General features: G+C 42.3%; 1 protein-coding gene across 3 annotated transcripts in view; it reads left to right on the top strand.

The window, feature by feature from the left end:
- CSMD1 (CUB and Sushi multiple domains 1) overlaps positions 1 to 19,729 on the top strand; it is a 2,059,554-nt gene that overhangs the window by 1,522,977 nt on the left and 516,848 nt on the right. For all 3 annotated transcript variants that reach the window (XM_011534752.3, NM_033225.6, XM_017013731.2), the window contains exon 12: positions 3,114 to 3,226. In XM_011534752.3, the coding sequence (XP_011533054.1) occupies positions 3,114 to 3,226 (113 nt within the window). The remainder of the gene's footprint in view (positions 1 to 3,113; positions 3,227 to 19,729) is intronic.

Below are 19,729 nucleotides of genomic sequence, written 5' to 3'. Positions count from 1 at the left end.
CCTCGACTCGTTTTGCATGTGAACCAAGTGCCATGTGTGTATTAACATGTAGGGAAAAACTAACGGCTATGCCCACATTCTTCTTTAACTGTGTAATATTAAAACAGTATGTTTACTTTCCTCTTCCTTCTTCTACCCAAAACCATGAATTTGACTTAAGATACATATTTTTCTTTTATATATTCACTTATCTTAGGGAATGATAACAGAAAGCAAGGAAGGAAGGAAGGAAAGAAGAAAGGAAGAAGGAAGGAAGGAAGGGAGGGAGGGAGGGAAAGGAAGGAAGGAGAGAGGAAGAAGGGAGGGAGAGAGGGAGGGAAGGAAGGAGAGAGGAAGAAGGAGGGAGGGAAGGAAGGAGAGAGGAAGAAGGAAGGAGGGAGGGAGAGGAGGGAGGGATGAAGGAAGGAAGGAACGAAGGAAGGAAGGAATGAAGGAAGGAAGGAAAGAAGGAAGGAACTAAGCCAGATTCCAAACTTGATATATAGAAAGCCCTGCAACTAATACTTATGGAATATAATTTGTTGTAATTGCATGTGGAACCAAAATTGACTATATTTAAATCAAAACTGCTAATTTCTGACAAGGACTGGTATCTGTACTACAATATATCAAGAGAGTTTTCAGTATTTAAAAGGAGGAAAAGAGAGACCTCTCATTCAAGAAGACGTATAAATGGCAAATAAACCCATGAGACAATGTTGTACATCATTACCCATTAGTTAAATGCACGTAGCTGTTAAAGTGTGGAAAAATGCCGACAACACCGAATGCCTATTGAGAATACAAAGAATCTGGGGTGCTCACACACTGCTGGTGGGAATGTACAAACAGTCTGGGGAAAAATTTGGTAGTTTCTTTAAATACTCAACATGATTTCACAATGCAGCTATTGCCCTCTTGCGCTTTTATCTCAGGTAAATGAAGATTTATGCTCACACAGAAACCTGCACACACATATTCAAAGCAGCTTTAGGTGTCATCTGCCAAAACTAGTATCAGTCCAAATACCCTTTACCAGGTGGTTAATTAAGCAAGCTGTGGTATATCCACAACATGACATACTACCCAGCGATAAAAGGGAACAAACTATTGGTATAAACAACAACTGGGATAAATCTTCCAGGAATTAAGCTAAGTAAAATCCAATCCCAGGTTGTTAAACACTGTGATTTCATTTGTATGATTTTTTTAAATAAATAATTTAGAGATGGATACTGATTAGTGGTTGCCAGGGGTTAGGGACAGTGAAGGGGGTGTAGCAAGAGGGGCATGAGTGTGATTTTAAGGGAAGAGCACCAGAGAATTTGGAAGGAATGGAGCTGCCCTGCATTGACTATGGCGGTGGATTCAGGAGCCGAGACATGTGACGTATTTGTGCAGAGCTACATGCACAAATGTACATACAAAATACGAATAAAACAGGGAAAGTTTTAACGAGGCTGGTAGGTTGTATCCATGTCAATGTCCTGATTGTTATAGTTTTGCAAGATGTTACCACTCGGGGAAACTAGGTAAATAATACATGTAATCTCTTTATATTATTTTGTACTACCTACCACATGTGTATCCACAATTATCTTAATAAAAATTTCAAGAATTTAGAAATGTTAATCATCCCCTACTTGTGTTTATACACTATAAATTCTATGTAGAAATTGAAGTAAATGAAACAATACTACAAACAATAACATGAATACATTTCACCAAAATCATGTTGAACAAAATGTTATATATAGTATGATTTCATTTACAAAAAAACTTTAAAGAAGATGTAAAACTGATAGTTTGGCAAGATGGGAGGAGAGGATGGTGACTGGGAGAAGGTACAAGAAGGCTTTGGGGTGTTGGTAATTGTCTAAGTGTTGATCTGTGTGGCGGTTCACTTTGTAAAAATTCATAGAGTTAGACATTCACGATCTGTGCGCTTTTTGGCTTGTTACACTTCAATAAATGTATGAATAAGAAAGAAAGAAAAAAATCTCTCTTCAAACAAGCCAACAAAACAAGCAAATGAAAAAGAACAATGTTGCCAACGAAGACAAATCTTCAGAAAGAAATACATATTTAGTTAACCACACAGCATTCACAGAAATAGTTTCCTCTTTTCAATTTGTGTGTAACATTGCATGAGTTACTTCACATATAATGACAGTTGTTCTTCTTCCTTTGAAGAATCCGGTGCTCTGTACTGCCTAAGGTGAGGATGTAGGGTTGATAGACAGATGATATGATTGATGGGGCAAATCATATGCTCATATTCCTGAAACTACTTTGCTGAAAGTCAAGCTTCCTATTTGATTAGGGACATTTGTTTTGGTTGAATTGATTTTCTTCTTACACTTTTTCTATTTCAACATGCTTTTCTGTCAGCATGTTGAGTTCAATCAATGGATTTAGTGTTTCTTTTCACTGGCTGACAGCAGCCCCTATGTGACTGTTTTGTTAATGCACAATGAATGCTTCATTGAAACTCACATTTGGTGTGACCCAGACATTAATATGCGGGGGGAGTGTTCAATAAATGCTGCCAAATCTATTTCAGCTATGCATGTTGTTCTTTTCAAAATTCTCTTAATGTATAATTACCTATAATATATTTTAAAAGGAGAGTTTGTGATAAAGTTACATACTAGTTCTAGACAATGAAAACCTTTTGTGAATGAACCCATACAATTTGTTGTGATAGAGATGCTTTGTCTTTCATGGCTGGTGTTGTGCAATCCTACAGCAACTGTGCACATCTCTAGTCACCTCACATGAACAACTGTGCCATATTTTTTCCAGGACTGTCCCAGTTGTAACATTGTAATTCCTGCACCTGGGGAAGCCTCTCGGTTCCAGGAAAATGGGATGGTTGATTGCCCTAAATTGATTTTTTAAAAGAAAATTCACGAATTGGCAGCCATAGAATAGAGTAATTTCTGTAAAGCACCAGTGATAGTGATGTTTGAATATTAATATAATGGACCAGAGGCTGTACAGTCTTTGAAAGAGGGTCTTGCTACCTATATATCTAGGGTTTGGCTGTTTAAAGCAGCAAGACCCTCCTTTCAGGTGGAAGTCGATGTACTTGTTGCCTTACCTAAAAGCTTTGACATTTCTCTTTCTTGCAGGCTCACGGGATCCAGTGTTCCTGACCTCATTGTGAGCATGAGCAACCAGATGTGGCTACATCTGCAGTCGGATGATAGCATTGGCTCACCTGGGTTTAAAGCTGTTTACCAAGGTATGATGAGATTACACTTCACAGGGTTGGAAGTTAGCATTCCAAGAGAGGGCAGAGAGCATTCTGTGTTGGTTAGGTAGAAGTAAAATCAACAAGTCAAACAATGCTGATAAATAGGAATCATGACGGGAACTTCCTTAAAGTCTACTAACACTCGCTTTCGTGAATGAGAATGTTTAACTTCTGAAAACTCGGCTTGCCATGATATGTGCTCTGATTATCCCAAAATAAAGAGTGAGGTGAAGTATTAGGTGTAAGCTAGGAAGTGTGGGCATATGTGGGGATCTTTTGACCATATCATATTGGCTGGTGTCTCTGAAAACCTTCTTTTATGTGAGCAAACATAGAAAAGACAATATAGTGAATCTGAAAATACTTACAATTATAAATTTTTATGAGCCAAATTCAAATATTTGAAATGAAAGCCCTGTGCCTGTCATTGTTTTTGAGCTAGTTTACAACTTTACAAGTTATAGAAAACTGATAGCAATGCAAACAATTTCTGAACCATTGAAATGCAAATGAATTTCCTGTGAAAAAGATCCCATTAATTATTGTCCTGTGGATATTGATTACTTTTAAATGGATTAGCAAGTTTATTTCAGTATTTCTGATTGTCTATATAGTTGTGATCTTTGGATTCTCCTTTGAAATAGTTTTTAAAATATCTTATTGGTTCCTTCATTGGTAACTGAGTTCCTTAAAGTATTTGAACCGATAGATGTGTATGTGTTTAGGTAAAAATGAGAATATTTATCTGGAGCTGTTGGAACTGTATTTTATTCTACTTTTTGAATTTGAGTAAATAGGCAGTATGTTCTTATTTCCCAAGTGTATACCATAGGAATAGTTTTAGGAGCTGAAAAATGTAACAAGAAGTTATTACCCATGAAATCAATGAAGGAGATAATAAAAAAGCATCCACCAATCCTAAATCAACAAGCATGGTAAGGGACATTGTCATGAGTCCATGTGAGTGAACACGCCACACCTTGGCTGCTCTCTCTCTCTGTGTGGGATAAAGGGTCACAATATTAAAGGGTCTCTTGGTGTGTGGGCCCACCCCGGAGTATCCTCATCTACAAAGCATAAAATAGGGTCCCTCCTTGCTGACACACGGGGTGTGTTGGGGACTTAATGACCCTTGTGAATAAGAAATACTACGACAAAAAATGTATATTTACATCCCTTTCAATGACTAAAACTAGAATGCAGAGGCAACTGCTGAATACCTCCTGACGTTTGAATTTTTAGACCTGACCTTCAATTGAACTTTTATGTGACTGTGCAGTTATTCAGGAAAGTATGGTGGAGATATCATATTTTCCACATGACCTGCATTTGCTGCTGCCTTTGGTAGAATCTGAAATCATCAGTGAAATACCAGACACTTCCCAACAGGGCAAATTGCAGTAAATTCATCTCAGCAGCATTGAGATACACATCATGAGGTTTATGGTACCAGGAATAGGAGAGGAACCTCGTGCCCAAACTGCATCCTTGACTATGAAGAGACATAAGTAGTCCCAATAAAAGGTAAACATTCTTCTATGTGTCATATTTCACAGTGAATGACCACACCACATTAATTATAATTACATTTTACCCTAATTAGTGCTGTGGTAAGAGTCTCAGTAGCCACCCTGAGATGGCTTTTCATGAGATGTCATAAAAACGTGAATGGCCATCAGTCCTTGAGAGATGGCCAATTCAATGTCATGTGTTATCTTTGACAAAAGAATAGTCCAAAGGCAAAAAGGTAATTAAAACCATTAACCAATACAACATTTGAGGATTTTAAAAAATTAAGAGATTATAACAGTAGAAGACATTCTAAAAATGCATATTTCCAGAGTACTATATTAAGCTAACAGTTGAAGACAAAGTGCAAATCACTTATAAAAGTGACCTTTATGCGTATACATAATTTTATATTATTTGACTCAAAGCAAAGTTATTCATAAATTATATTATCAGAAAACAGCCCGGGCAGGGGGGCTGACACCTTTAATCATAGTGCTTTGGGAGACCAAGGCAGGCGGATCACTTAAGGTCAGGAGTTCCAGACCAGCCTGGCCAACATGGTGAAACCCCTATCTCTCCTCAGAATACAAAAAAAAAAAAAAAAAAAAAATTAGCTGATTGTGGAGGGTGGGTACCTGTAATCCCAGATACACAGGAGGCTGGGGCAGAAGAATCGCTTGAACCCGGGTAGTGGAGCTTGCAGTGAGCCAAGATCGTGCCACTGCACTCCAGCCTAGGCAACAGAGTGAGACTCCATCTTAAAAAAAGAAAAAAAAATTATCAGAAAATATATACAGCATATATTCACATAGAGTTAAATGTTCTACGTTTTGATGTTGCCTGATTTTCACTAACATCTAGTGTTAGGAACACAGGCTCTGGAGCTGTACTCCCCTGAATACTGGTTCTGCTGCCCAGTAACTGAACCTTAGTGTAAGTTATTTAAACCCTTTGTGTATCAGACTCGTCATTAAAAAAAAAAGTCCTAGTAATCACAACTGCTTCATAATTTTATTGAAAAATCAACTGAGTAAAACATGTAAGGCTCATAACACATGGAGTAAGAACTTAAGAAATGCGAGCTCTTATTTCTGTTTGCATTTTCATTTTAATTTTGAGATTTTTTCTACAAACATGATGTTTTCATTATATAAATAATAGTGTGCACAGTAAGACATGTAAACCCAACTGAGGGGTGTTTAGATGAATTGTAAGCACCCCTTCTCTCCAGCTTCTAGCTGAGCCAGTTAACTTCCTCTGAGGCAACAGCTCTCGACATTTTCTCATAGTTTCCCCAGAAATTTTCAGTGTGTGCCCTCTCATACCTGGAGTCACAGTCAGTCCCTCAGACTACAAACCCTAGACAAACTGCTATGCAAGAAATGCCACATCATCTTATTTTAACATCGACTTGAATTTCTGAGACTCCATCCTAAGAAAGTAGCTATCATTGTAACCTCACTCATTACCAAAGGCCACCCATGTCAACCCTTACTGACCTACCTACTCCAACCTTGACAAGAAATCAGGAATAGCCTGAGTAGTGTAAAATATTTCGGGGACCCTCAAATCTTCGGATCACACTTCTAACCCTAAGATGTTCACGGTCTCTGCTACCTTGGGCACTGTTGTCTCTGAGAAAATCTCCCTGGAGGATGCTTTCCTGGCACCCCCACTACCCCCTGCCAGCACACACAGTAATGGTGAGGGGGCTGCCTCAGGACACGTGGACCAGGAGGACCTTGGGTCCACTCTACCCACCTGTGGCCTCCATCATTCCCGGGCTCGTAGGCTTGGGCATATGTGAGATTTCTCCATTTGTGCTGTCTCTAACTCCCCAAAGACAATCCTCTCTCCTCCATCCCCTCAAGATGCCTGGAGGGTCTACTCAGTTAATGGACCCTTTTAGGAGCATTTTTCAGAAAGCAAGTAGGGTGGAGAAATGAAAACCAGGGCCTGTGCATCCCCTGAAAATCACAGTGAGTGGAGGATAGGCAGGGAGGAGCTCAGAGACTGAAAAACAACAGGGATCCCTGCTGGTGAGGCCCCAGCAGCAAACACAGAAGAACAATTCACAGAAACAAACGCTCTTGCTAGACTTCAGTTGGCATGTGTATGTTATACAGTATGTGTTATACATATTCCCTAGTATATAAGCCTGTTCATACTTATGAGCATGTGTATTATCTATAGCTATTATACACAGAACGAGAGAGAGAGAGTGTGAATTGATAATTTCCCCTAAGCAAATTATGGGGAAAAAAATGCAAAGTTTAAAAAACAAAGAGAGCTCTTGAGGGAGATCATGTTAAGTGTCAGAAAGTAATGGGAGAGAGGTAAGCTTTGTTTAAAACCATTTTACAAATGAAAATACTGAATTAAAAATAATCTGTTCAAAAGCCCAAATGCTAAGAAGCAGGATGTAAATTAATTATGATAGAGCCATATAAAGCAACACTGACCATTCATAAGCAAACTCTATATGACTAGTATATATTTTTAAAACAAATTTTACATATACAATTTATATATAAATTTGCTATATATATAGATTCTACCTATATATAATTGTATAATTTATATACTTAAAAATCATTTATTTATATATTTATAAATCATATTTATAATAGATAGAATCCATATAAATAGTAAATCTCAGAATACTATATAAGAAAAGATAATGTGAGTCCGGGGCATAGTTTCTCCATTTTATATTTGAAAATAAAATATATATCTCATAGCAACTGATTGTTAGTCCACAGAAAATAAAGAAAAATCCCTATGCTCAATTGAAAGTTGGGTTCCCTCATAACCACTGCAGCTTCTAGCCATGAGGAAGTTAACAAGAAGCAAACTTGATCCCTGGATATTTTTATAAGCAATTACATGTTTGCTATTGTAGTGGTCCCACGTTTTTATGGCTTCTCTGTCTATAGTAAAGTGAGTTGACTCTGAAGCATTTTTGGTTACAAAAAAAAATTCGGTTCGAGTTCATCACACTAGTTGATGAACTGCATCTCCAGAAATCATGTTTCATGTAATTTGCCGTAGCTATTTACATTCCAGCAGGGGGTGAATTAAAGGAACTGTTTCCTGTGATGTGCTGCTGTATAGTCAAAACAAGACCTATTTTGGGCTAATACTAAGAGTGATTCCAGTAAAATTATTTGACTTCAGCATCACCATTTCATACAAGAAACGGAATTGTCTCCTTCGTCCGATGAATACAGTGATAATAAGAGAATGGAAATTTGTGTAGGCATCTCAGTCTGTGGCCAAGGGTCTGTGCTCCTAGGGTGTATGGGGGAAGTGAGGCTGTGTGTTGTACTGAATACAGGAATGTAGGAGATGGTTCAAAAACCAGCATCTTTACCATTCTTGGCAGACGGAACTTTTGAGACAGCATTGATGTTATGTAATCTTGAAGGTGCTTCTCGTCTTGCGTGGTTGTACTGGCATGAGTTACCCAGCCCAGTCTCGCCCGTCTTCTCTAGGTGAGCAATTATGCACATTGAACAGCGTCCAAGTGCAATGACGGCACAGGGTGCTGTCCCTGAACCGAGGACAGCTCACTGGTCCTTGTAGAAAGTGAGCTCATGCCCCTGTCCTTGTGAGCATGAAGCCAATACGCTATTCATAGTCAGACAAGACAGTGCCTGCCAGAATAGTAGTGACTTCTAAAACCCTAAAGAGAAGGTGAAGCTGCAGGACGTGGCTTCAAATAACCTTTTGTTTACATGTTGTGGGAATGCTCAGTTGACTGTCACAAAGCGTTTATAATGTGTACCTCCTTTTTCACAGCACATACAGCCTTATATCTAAGGTGGATTTAACATTTTTTTCCAAGGGCTTGACTTAAGTCTATGACAAATTATCCTTTTTCTTGGAAGCAGAGCCTGAGTTGGTGACTTGTGTAGCAGGAGGTATTGGGAGTGTGCTTGGAATCGTCTGTAAGGCAGAGAAGGAAGTGGAGTTGGGTGGAGGGAGAGGTTGAACAGTGCCCAGTCACGACAGGTGCACAGTTAGTTCATTCAGGTTGCCGTAACAGAATATGGAGATAGAGTTGGCTTGGCGACAATGGAATTGTATCTCTCACAGTTCTGGGAAGTCCACGATCAAGGCAGTGGCAGATTTGGTGTCTGGTGAGGACCGTTTCCTGGTTCATAGATGGCGCCTTCTCACTGTGTCCTCACGTGGTGGACAGCGCAAGGCCACAAGCCTGGACATCCTTCACAAGGGCACTAATCCTGTTCACAGGGGCTCCACCCTCATCATGTCATCACGCTCTAAAGGCTGGCCCATCTCTGAAAACCATCAAATTTGAGGTTAGGTTTCAACTTAGGAATTTGGAGGGACACAAACAGTCAGACCACATCAGGTTCTTAGATAAGAGTCCCCAGCCTTTTTGGCACAAGGGACCGGTTTTAAGGTAGACAGTTTTTCCATGGACTGGGAGAGGTGATGATTTCAGGGTGACTGAAGTGCATTGCATTTACTGTGCACTTTATTTCTATTATTACAATGTAATGTGTAATAAAATAATTATACAACTCTCCATAATGTAGAATCATTGGGAGCCCTGAGCTTGTTTTCCTGCAACTAGACAGTCCCATCTGGGTGATGGGAGACAGTGACAGATCATCAGGTATTAGATTCTCATAAAGGGCATGCAGCCTAGATCCCTCGCATGTGCAGTTCACAATAGGGTTCACACTCCTAGGAGAATGTAATGTTGCTGCTGATCTGCTGGGAGGCAGAGCTCAGGTGGTAATGCTCCGTTGCCTGCTGCTCACCTCCTGCTGTGTGGCCCAGTTCCTAGCAGGCCATGGACGAGTACTGGTCCCTGGCCTGGGGGTTGGGAACCCTTGCCTTAAATGATGCTACAGGGAGGTCTGGAGCTAGGATGGCACTGTATAGTCTTCCAAACTGAAGCAATTGGGCCAGGCTTGGTGCCATTGACCATTGACATGGGTGGCCCCCAGGGAGGGACCAGAACACTGCTTGGGATGATTCCTGAAAAGAAATGCAGTGTGGGTCCCGAGCAGCTGGGAGGTGGGGGGGGGGGCCTGGATTCTGAAGAGAGCACCCAAATGGTGCCCTTGGGATCAAATACAGCCCAGCACTAGCACTGGTCAGTATTCTCCATCTGGAAACAGCTTCTCTAGGATTCTGACTGGCCTCGTTTCCTAGGAACACGTGTAACACACACTCACCTCACCGCCACCCTCCTGTCCGGCCCATGTGAGGATCTGCCTCCTTAGCTGGCCTCTCAGCTGGGCTAGTTGGCTTCTGCAGCAGGGCGATGCTGACCCAAGTCCTCACAGGGCCTCGGTCTCTGCTCACAGTGCACTGCTCAGGTGTGGCTGCTAGACTTGTCCGTGTTCTATCACACGTAAGAGAGTCCCCATGGATAAATCGTCCCACTCATCTGTATTGTCTCATTGGGGACAATGGCCCCAGCTTTTTCTCCTGATTAGGGCCAGTCCTCCTGCAAGGATGATGGCTGCTTCCATTACTGGTGAGGCCTTGGGCATGAGGATCTGGAAGATGCTGGGCCACAGGGATAGCTTACAGTTTCATGGGGCCCTTCCTCTTCCTGCTGATGGAGACAGCTCCCCTCTGAGAAGCAGGTTCTCTACAACCACATTGCCTAATTTGAGAGATCGGGGAGCAGAGATCTCAATCAGCTCCTGGGGTGGAGGTGAGACAGCTACTCCTGCTTCCCCTCCTCAGTTCCTGGCCCCATGTATTCCAGCCTCTGGGGACTGACACAGCATTATGGCCGTGGATTTAGGGTGAAGACCACATCCAGAGGACAGCAGCACATCCTTCCCAGCATACTCTCCAAGCTGGCTCCTCAGCCATGCCTTCAGAAGCGCATTCCCTCATTCTATCCAGCAAAAGCCTTCTGGACTTGCAGTCTGTGGCAGGAATGCCAGGTCTCGGGGTCAGTAGCCCTTGCATCTTCTTCTTTATTCTAAATTAAGGCCTTTGTTTGAGCACTTCCCTGAGAGGTGTGCAGCTATGAGCCCTCTCTAGCAGCCTCAGTTCCGCAGAGCGATGAGGGCCGCATCTGATGGTGGGACCTGAGTCTGCGGTGAGGCCCATGCAAGGGAAAGAGTCGTGTCACATGAACTCATGTGCTGTAAATTCAAATATCCTCTCAACGGGCTTTCCTGAGGACTGCCATTCCATTTAATATGCTAAAGAACAAACTTATTGTTACTGCCCTCCACATCCCTTGAAACAAAACTAGCCCTTCTATTCTTGGGACCACAAGTGGTCATGTCTGCCTTCCTGGTGCTTAGCTCTTTGCTTCTAGAACAAGCTTCCTGACCTGGGACTCACATCACAGCATTGTCTGTTCTTACCCAGAGTGCGGCATCATTGTCTAGCAGCCGGGGAAAATAATCTCCCTATATTCTTTGAGAATTTGGACAACAGATTTATAATTATTGTTTTTGTGTTATTTCTTCTTAGCGACATTGGTGGTTTATGATCCTGTTCTCTTTTTCTCCACGAATTTCGGTCAGTTCCGTCTAGTAAATATCCTTCTATCCCATCCCTCCTGTTTATCTTCATTCTCTTACCCTTAGTCGGCTTCCACAGTGTCCCCTCTAGGCGGCCTCTGTAGTGGTCGAAACTTCATTTCTCCCCGCTACTAAACTCTTCTATTTTGCTCACACACAGGGGTCCAGTCAGAATTATCTTTTTTAAAAAAATGAACATAGAGAGTGTTCCTACACTGTTTCAAATTGGTTGGAGCCTTCCCAGGGTCCACAGAATATTCTGTAAAGTGGTTTCCAGATTCCATCTTCATCTCTCACCACCACTCACATACACTTGATGTTTGTCCCATGGAACTTCCTGATCTTCAAATCTTCCTTTTTTCCTCTCTTTTACCTTTGCACACGTATCTCCCCAACAAGGATCATTCTTCTATGGACTCACCATGTAGATCATTTGCTGATCTTCCCGTCTCATCTCAGAGTTTACTTTCCCCAATAAGCCTCACATCCTAGATTATGTGATTTGCTGCTACACAATCCTATACCACCCTGAGCTGCCTCCATCCCAACAATTGTTTAATTGCCTTTCTTCCCAGGAGACAGAAGCTCTGGGAATGCAAGGACCTCTTTATGCCCCACACCTGTGCAGCTGTGCAGAAGCTGCAGGTTGTATAGCTGCATCCTTAGAGATGTGCAAAATGTGAGTGAGTGTCTTAGCCAGTTTCTGGACTGTTTAGATTTTTGTAGCATTATCATGGGCCATTTAACCCTTATCAATAATCTTAGGACCACTCCAGTTTTTTTTTAAGTCTTAGTTGAGTTTTTATACGTTTGAGGAATTATAGCCCAGTAGCCAATGAGTCAACACAGACTGTTTCTGGTTGTTGATGCTGCTCTGATTCCTGGACCCAAATCTGTTCATGTGCCGGCAGCCTCATTCTTGAGTGCTTGGGTCCCTGAATGATGACCTTTCGGAACCCAATTCCTGAAGTATATCCGGTGCCCTCTCTGGTTCTCTGAGTCCACCTCCCCTGGACCGTCCGGGAGTTACCCTTCAGTGGTGGGTGCTCTGCTGCTATTGGTTGAATTCCCCTGTTGGCAAAGGGATGCATTTCTGCACAGATCTCCCATGTACCTGCATTTATCATGTTCTCTGCTCTCATCCGTGTCTCCGACTGCCGCATGCGTGGAGATCACCCAGGGGTCTTCATAGACGGAGATTCAGGTCAGGGTGGGCTTAAAAGTGCATATTCCTGTGGCACTGGTGCTGCATTGCAAGGAAGTTGTATGAGAAGGATCCACCGTGCGATTCCCGTCATATTACGGCCGCTGTGTTGTGTACCCTGTGCCCCACGTCAGCCAGCAGGGTGAGGGACACACCGGCCTGTCTCTCCTCGCCTCACCCTGCTCACTCTGGTCCATGAGTCAGCCTCTTCGTGCACCTGTGGCTCCCGTGTGCCCCACCACGGTGCAGCCACCACAGAGCAAGTCACTGAATTTCTGCCCCTCTTCCAGATCACGTGTCCTCTCAAGAGCCACAGGGTGCTGTAGCACAGTGTAGCATGCTGTGTGCTTGCCATCCTGTGCCCATCCATCGTTCTCCCCCACACTGGCGCTCATGCCGCTTCCCTTCTCTCCGGGCGGGTCCTTCCTACCCTTGCGGGTAGGAAACAACCCTTCCCTTCCCCAAGGCCCAGCTTGAGAGCTGCACCTCTCTCCTGGACAGCTCACTGGGATGGAAATTCCTTCCAATGTTTCCCTGTGGCTACCAGCAGCAGCTCCTTTTTAGCTAAGGTAACAGTTTTCCTAGAGTGTTTTGTGTGTCCTCGAGTCCTTGAGAAAGAGCCCCATTTTATTCAATCCTGTTTCTCCAGACCATTGCAGAGCACACAATGTCTTCATCTTGGTGAGCCATTTAGTAACCAAAGATATTAAGAGCCATTTACAAACCAAATATATTAATAATTAAGTGTTTGAAGCTGAAATTAATAGATTATATGTGTTCATTGTTGCTATTGTTTTCTTTAGGTGAATTACCAGCTAGGCCAACTAGCGTTCCGTTGTCTTAACGCAAGACGAATAAGATGAACATAGGATTTTACTGAAACGATATTAAAACAAACAAGTAATAACAACAAACTATATATTAGAAAGATATTGAGTTTCCAGTCATCACCCTTTTTTGTTGACAGGGTTGGAGAGTTTGTATGAAGATATGCTGACATTCAGGACAGTCTTAACTTTAAGAAAAATATCAGAAGACCCATTGACTCTTGATTTCCATTTTTTTCTGAGTTATATTGCATGAATGAATTATAAGCACAGATTCCTCTTAATAATGTGAGATAAGCCATTATTAAATATTTAAATATATCAGCACATATGAGCCAGGAGAGCAGGTGGTGCCGGAGAACATTAAATTCTAACGCAGAAATTTGACATTTAAATTCCAGTGTTAGTGGCCCGTTAGCTCCAGCTACATTGCACTCTCCCTTCCCAACATGTATCCTCACAGATTACATGTCAAAGTAAACTGAGATAAGATGTAGTGGAAATGACACGGAGGTTAAGCGCTGCGGGGCTCACGTTAGAGCAAACTTCCTGGGAGACGTTCTCCAATCTGTATTTTAGTCTCAGGTAAGAATGAAAGTTCTGATAATGATATTTGCGAATTATGAAAGAGCTTGTGAAATTAACAAGGTGTACTTCTAGGTGATATTTTAGGCTCTGTAATTGGAATGAGCTTCCTATTTTTTTCCAGCCATATGGCTGCCTTCCTCATTTCTCATGTGTTCCATGAGTGTGTGAATGTGATAACATTCTCCCACATCTTTACCACTGGGATCCCTGCATCGGATACAACAAGGACCCACTTTTACAAACAGGTTTTTTCCTTTCAATTGGAATTTGTTGCTTTCAATTTTCTCATTACCTTTATTATTTTTCTTTGGTATTTCTGTTTCCTTTACGAGTTTTTATGATCTCAACAAGAGTCTTTGTTAAAATTTCTGAATTGTGTTGTCTTAGAAATGGATGATATTTTGCATTACTGATTTAAAAGTTATAGATGGGACTATTCTATTCTTGAAATTCATCCTGTGTTTTTTAAACCGCGTACATATCCTCTTGCCTCTAAGCCAGGAACGGCCAGGCGTGGCATGCGGTTTTGATGACTCAGCTCCAATGCGTTTCTTTTAGATCACCTCTTGCTTTAACATGTGAGCATGTGGAGCTCCGTTTCTTCTGCTTTTCTCTTGGGAAAGGGAGTGAGCAGAAAGAAAGTTTGTGCCATCTGAGACTGAGAATGAGAGAAACTGAAGAAGTTAGGCAGCTTCAGACTTTGGCAAAAAGGTTGTGATGTGAGCTGAAGGTCAGGGAGTGTAGGATGAGGGGTGAAGATGAGGGGTACAGGGCAAGGGAAACAGGTTCACGAGTCCAGGATGAGAGGTGCAGTGAGGAGGGCAGGATGAGGGGGTCCAGGTTAGGAGTCCACGATGAGGAGTCCAGGAAGAGAGGTACAGGATGAGGTGTTCAGTGACGAGTACGGGAGGAGAGGCCTGGGTGAGGGATTCAGAGGGAGGGGTCCAGGAAGAGAGGTGCAGAATGAGGGATACAGGTGAGGAGTACAGAATGAGGGGTACAGGTGAAGGGGTCCAGGATGAGATGTGCAAGGGAAGGAGTACAAAATGAGGGGCTATGGGATGAGGAAGTGCAGGATGAGGGTGTGTAGGGTGAGACAGTGCAGCAGGAGGGCTCCAGCATGAAGTGTAGAATACAAGGGGGGCAGGATAGTGCAGTGCTAGAGCTTAGCCAAGAGACCTGGGCTCGGGTTTCAGTTCTGCATCCAGTTTGTTCTGAATACCCCTGGCCTTTAGTAGCCTCATCTATAATGGGCAATGGGGATGGGTCATCTGCAGGCTTTCCTCCCACTTCTGAAAGAGAGAAATCAACAGCTCCAAATATTTCGTCTTTATGGGAAGCTCATTCCTGGAATGATTAGCAAGCTGAAGATGTGATTGCCACCTCTGATACTGAAACACGTCCACTAGGACTATTTCAATGCTAAATAGGATAGGAGAGAACGCAACTAGGTTTTGGCATAGTAGGAAGTAATGCAATGATGCTAAGTGAAAAACTGCGCCAACTTAGATAACCACAAAGCACATGGTGACATCATTCACAAGGCCTTCAGTGTTATGCATTTTCTAAATTGTATTAGAAAATAGGAGAGTAAGGGGTGGAGCCAAGATGGCCAAAGAGGAACAGCTCCAGTCTACAGCTCCCAGCGTGAGGGATGCAGAAGGTGGGTGATTTCTGCATTTCTAACTGAGGTACCTCGTTCATGTCACTGGGGAGTGTCGGACAGTGGGTGCAGCACACAAAGCATGAGCTGAAGCAGGGCAAGGCATCGCCCCACCTATGAAGAGCAAGCGGTCAGGGAATTCCCTTTCCTAGTCAAAGAAAGGGGTGACAGACGGCACCTGGAAAATTGGGTCACTCCCACCCTAATACTGTGCTTTTCTAAAGGTCTTAGCAAATGGCACACCAGGAGATTATATCCTGCACCTGGCTTTGAGGGTCCTACGCCCATGAAGGCTTGCTCATTGCTGAGACAGCAGTCTCAGATCAAATAGCAAGGCGGCGGCGAGGCTGGGGGAGGGGCACCCACCATTGCCCAGGCTTGAGTAGGTAAACAAAGCAGCCCGGAAGCTCGAACTGGGTGGAGCCCACCTCAGCTCAAGGAGGCCTGCCTGCCTCTGTAGACTCCACCTCTGGGGGCAGGGCATAGCCAAACAAAAGACAGCAGAAACCTCTGCAGACTTAAATGTCCCTGTCTGACATCTTTGAAGAGAGTAGTGGTTCTCCCAGCATGCAGCTTGAGATCTGAGAACAGACAGACTGCCTCCTCAAGTGGGTCCCTGACCCCTGAGTAGCGTAACTGGGACGCATCCCCAGTAGGGGCAGTCTGACACCTCAGATGGCCAGGTACTCCTCTGAGACAAAATTTCCAGAGGAAGGATCAGGCAGCAGCATTTGCTGTTCAGCAATATCCACTGTTCTGCAGCCTCTGCTGCTGATACCCAGGCACACAAGGTCTGGAGTGGACCTCCAGCAAATTCCAACAGACCTGCAGCTGAGGGTCCTGACTGTTAGAAGGAAAACTAACAAACAGAAAGGACATCCACACCAAAACCCCATCTGTACATCACCATCATCAAAGACCAAAGGAAGATAAAACCACAAAGATGGGGAAAAAACAGAGCAGAAAAACTGGAGACTCTAAAAATCAGAGTGCCTCTCCTCCTCCAAAGGAAAGCAGCTCCTCACCAGCAATGGAGCAACGTTGGACAGAGAATGACTTTGATGAGTTGAGAGAAGAAGGCTTCAGATGATCACACTACTCCGAGCTAAAGGAGGAAGTTTGAACCCATGGCAAAGAAGTTAAAAACCTTGAAAAAAAATTAGACGACTGGCTAACTAGAATAACCAATGCAGAGAAGTCCTTAAAGGACCTAATGGAACTGAAAACCATGGCAGGAGAACTACCTGATGAATGCACAAGCCTCAGTAGCCGATTCGATCGATAGAAAGAAAGGGTATCAGTGATGGAAGATCAAATGAATGAAATGAAGCGAGAGGAGAAGTTTAGAGAAAAAAGAATAAAAAGAAACAAACAAAGCCTCCAAGAAATATGGGACTATGTGAAAAGACCAAATCTACATCTGATTGGTGTACCTGAAAGTGACGGGGAGAATGGAACCAAGTTGGAAAACACTCTGCAGGATGTTATCCAGGAGAACTTCCCCAATCTAGCCAGGCAGGCCAACATTCAAATTCAGGAAATACAGAGAATGCCACAAAGATACTCCTCGAGAAGAGCAACTCAAAGACACATAATTGTCAGATTCAGCAAAGTAGAGATGAAGAAAAAATTTAAAGGGCAGGCAGAGAGAAAGGTCGGGTTACCCACAAGGGGAAGCCCATCAGACTAACAGCTGATCTCTCCGCAGAAACTCTACAAGCCAGAAGAGAGTGGGGGCCAATATTCAACATTCCTAAAGAAAACAAGTTTCAGTCCAGAATTTCATATCCAGCCAAACTAAGTTTCTTAAGTGAAGGAGAAATAAAATCCTTTACAGACAAGCAAATGCTGAGAGATTCTGTCACCACCAGTCCTGCCCTAAAAGAGCTCCTGAAGGAAGCACAAAACATGGAAAGGAACAACCGGTACCAGCCACTGCAAAAACATGCCAAATTGTGAAGACCATTGATGCTAGGAAGAAACTGCCTCAACTAACAAGCAAAATAACCAGCTAACATCATAATAACTGAATCAAATTCACACATAACAATATTAACCTTAAATGTAAATGGGCCAAATGCTCCAATTAAAAGACACAGACTGGCAAATTGGATAAAGAGTCAAGACCCATCAGTGTGCTATATTCAGGAGACCCATCTAACGTGCAGAGACACACATAGGCTCAAAATAAAGAGGTGGAGAAAGATCTACCAAGCAAATGGAAAACAAAAAAAGGCAGGGGTTGCAATCCTAGTCTCTGATAAAACAGACTTTAAACCAACAAAGATCAAAAGAGACAAAGAAGGCCATTACATAATGGTAAAGGGATCAATTCAACAAGAAGAGCTAACTATCCTAAATATATATGCACCCAATACAGGAGCACCCAGATTCATAAAGCAAGTCCTTAGAGACCTACAAAGAGACTTAGAGTCCCACACAATAATAATGGGAGACTTTAACACCCTACTGTCAACATCAGACATTTCAACAAGACAGAAAGTTAACAAGGATATCCAGGAATTGAAGTCAGCTCTGCACCAAGCAGATCTAATAGACATCTACAGAACTATCCCCCCCAAATCAATAGAATATATATTCTTTTCAGCACCATACCACACCTATTCCAAAATTGACCACATAGTTGTAAGTAAAGCTCTCCTCAGCAAATGTAAAAGTACAGAAATTATAACAAACTGTCTCTCAGACCACAGTGCAATAAAACTACAATTCAGGATTAAGAAAGTCTCTCAAAACTACTCAGTTACATGGAAACTGAACAACCTGCTCCTCAATGACTACTTGGTACATAACGAAATGAAGGTAGAAATAAAGATGTTCTTTGAAACCAATGAGAACAAAGACACAACATACCAGAATCTCTGGGACACATTCAAAGCAGTGTGTAGAGGGAAATTTATAGCACTAAATGCCCACAAGAGAAAGCAGGCAAGATCTAAAATTGACATCCTAACATCACAATTAAAAAAACCAGAGAAGCAAGAGCAAACACATTCAAAAGCCAGCAGAAGGTGAGAAATAACTAAGATCAGAGCAGAAGTGAACGAAATAGAGACACAAAAAACCCTTCAAAAAAAATGAATCCAGGAGCTGGTTTTTTGAAAAGATCAACAAAATTGATAGACTGCTAGCAAGACTATAAAGAAGAAAAGAGAAAAGAATCAAATAGAAGCAATAAAAAATGAAGGGGATATCACCACCAATCCCATGGAAATACAAACTACCATCAGAGAATACTATAACCACCTCTATGCAAAAGAACTAGAAAATCTAGAAGAAATGGATAAATTCCTCGACACATACACTCTCCCAAGACTAAACCAGGAAGAAGTTGAATCTCTGAATAGACCAATAACAGGCTCTGAAATAGAGGCAATAATTAATAGCTTACCAACCAAAAAAAGTCCAGAAACGGATGGATTCACAGCCGAATTCTACCAGAGATACAAGGAGGAGCTGGTACCATTCCTTCTGAAACTATTCCAATCAATAGAAAAAGAGGGAATCCTCCCTAACTCATTTTATGAGGCCAACATCATCCTGATACCAAAGCCTGGCAGAGACACAACAAAAAAAGAGAATTTTAGACCAATATCCCTGATGAACATCGATGCAAAAATCCTCAATAAAATACTGGCACACCAAATCAAGAAGCACATCAAAAACCTTATCCACCATGATCAAGTGGGTTTCATCCCTGGGATGCAAGGCTGATTCAACATACCCAAATCAATTAACATAATCCAGCATATAAACAGAACCAATGACAAAAACCACATGATTATCTCAATAGATGCAGAAAAGGCCTTTGACAAAATTCAACAACACTTCATGCTAAAAACTCTCAGTAAATTAGGTATTGATGGGATGTATGTCAAAATAATAAAACCTATCTATGACAAACCCACAGCCAATATCATACTGAAGGGGCAAAAACTGGAAGCATTCCCTTTCAAAACTGGCACAAGACAGGAGTGCCCTCTCTCACCACTGCTATTCAACATAGAGTTGGATGTTCTGGCCAGGGCAATCAGGCAGGAGAAGGAAATAAAGGGTATTCAATTAGGAAAAGAGGAAGTCAAATTGTCCCTTTTTCCAGATGACATGATTGTATATTTAGAAAACCCCATTGTCTCAGCCCAAAAT

This window comes from Homo sapiens, chromosome 8, assembly GCF_000001405.40.
Source record: "Homo sapiens chromosome 8, GRCh38.p14 Primary Assembly".
In the NCBI taxonomy this organism is placed as follows: Eukaryota; Metazoa; Chordata; class Mammalia; order Primates; family Hominidae; genus Homo; species Homo sapiens.
The sequence above is the reverse complement of the archived record's forward strand: the minus strand, read 5'-3'. Positions and strand labels throughout refer to the sequence as shown.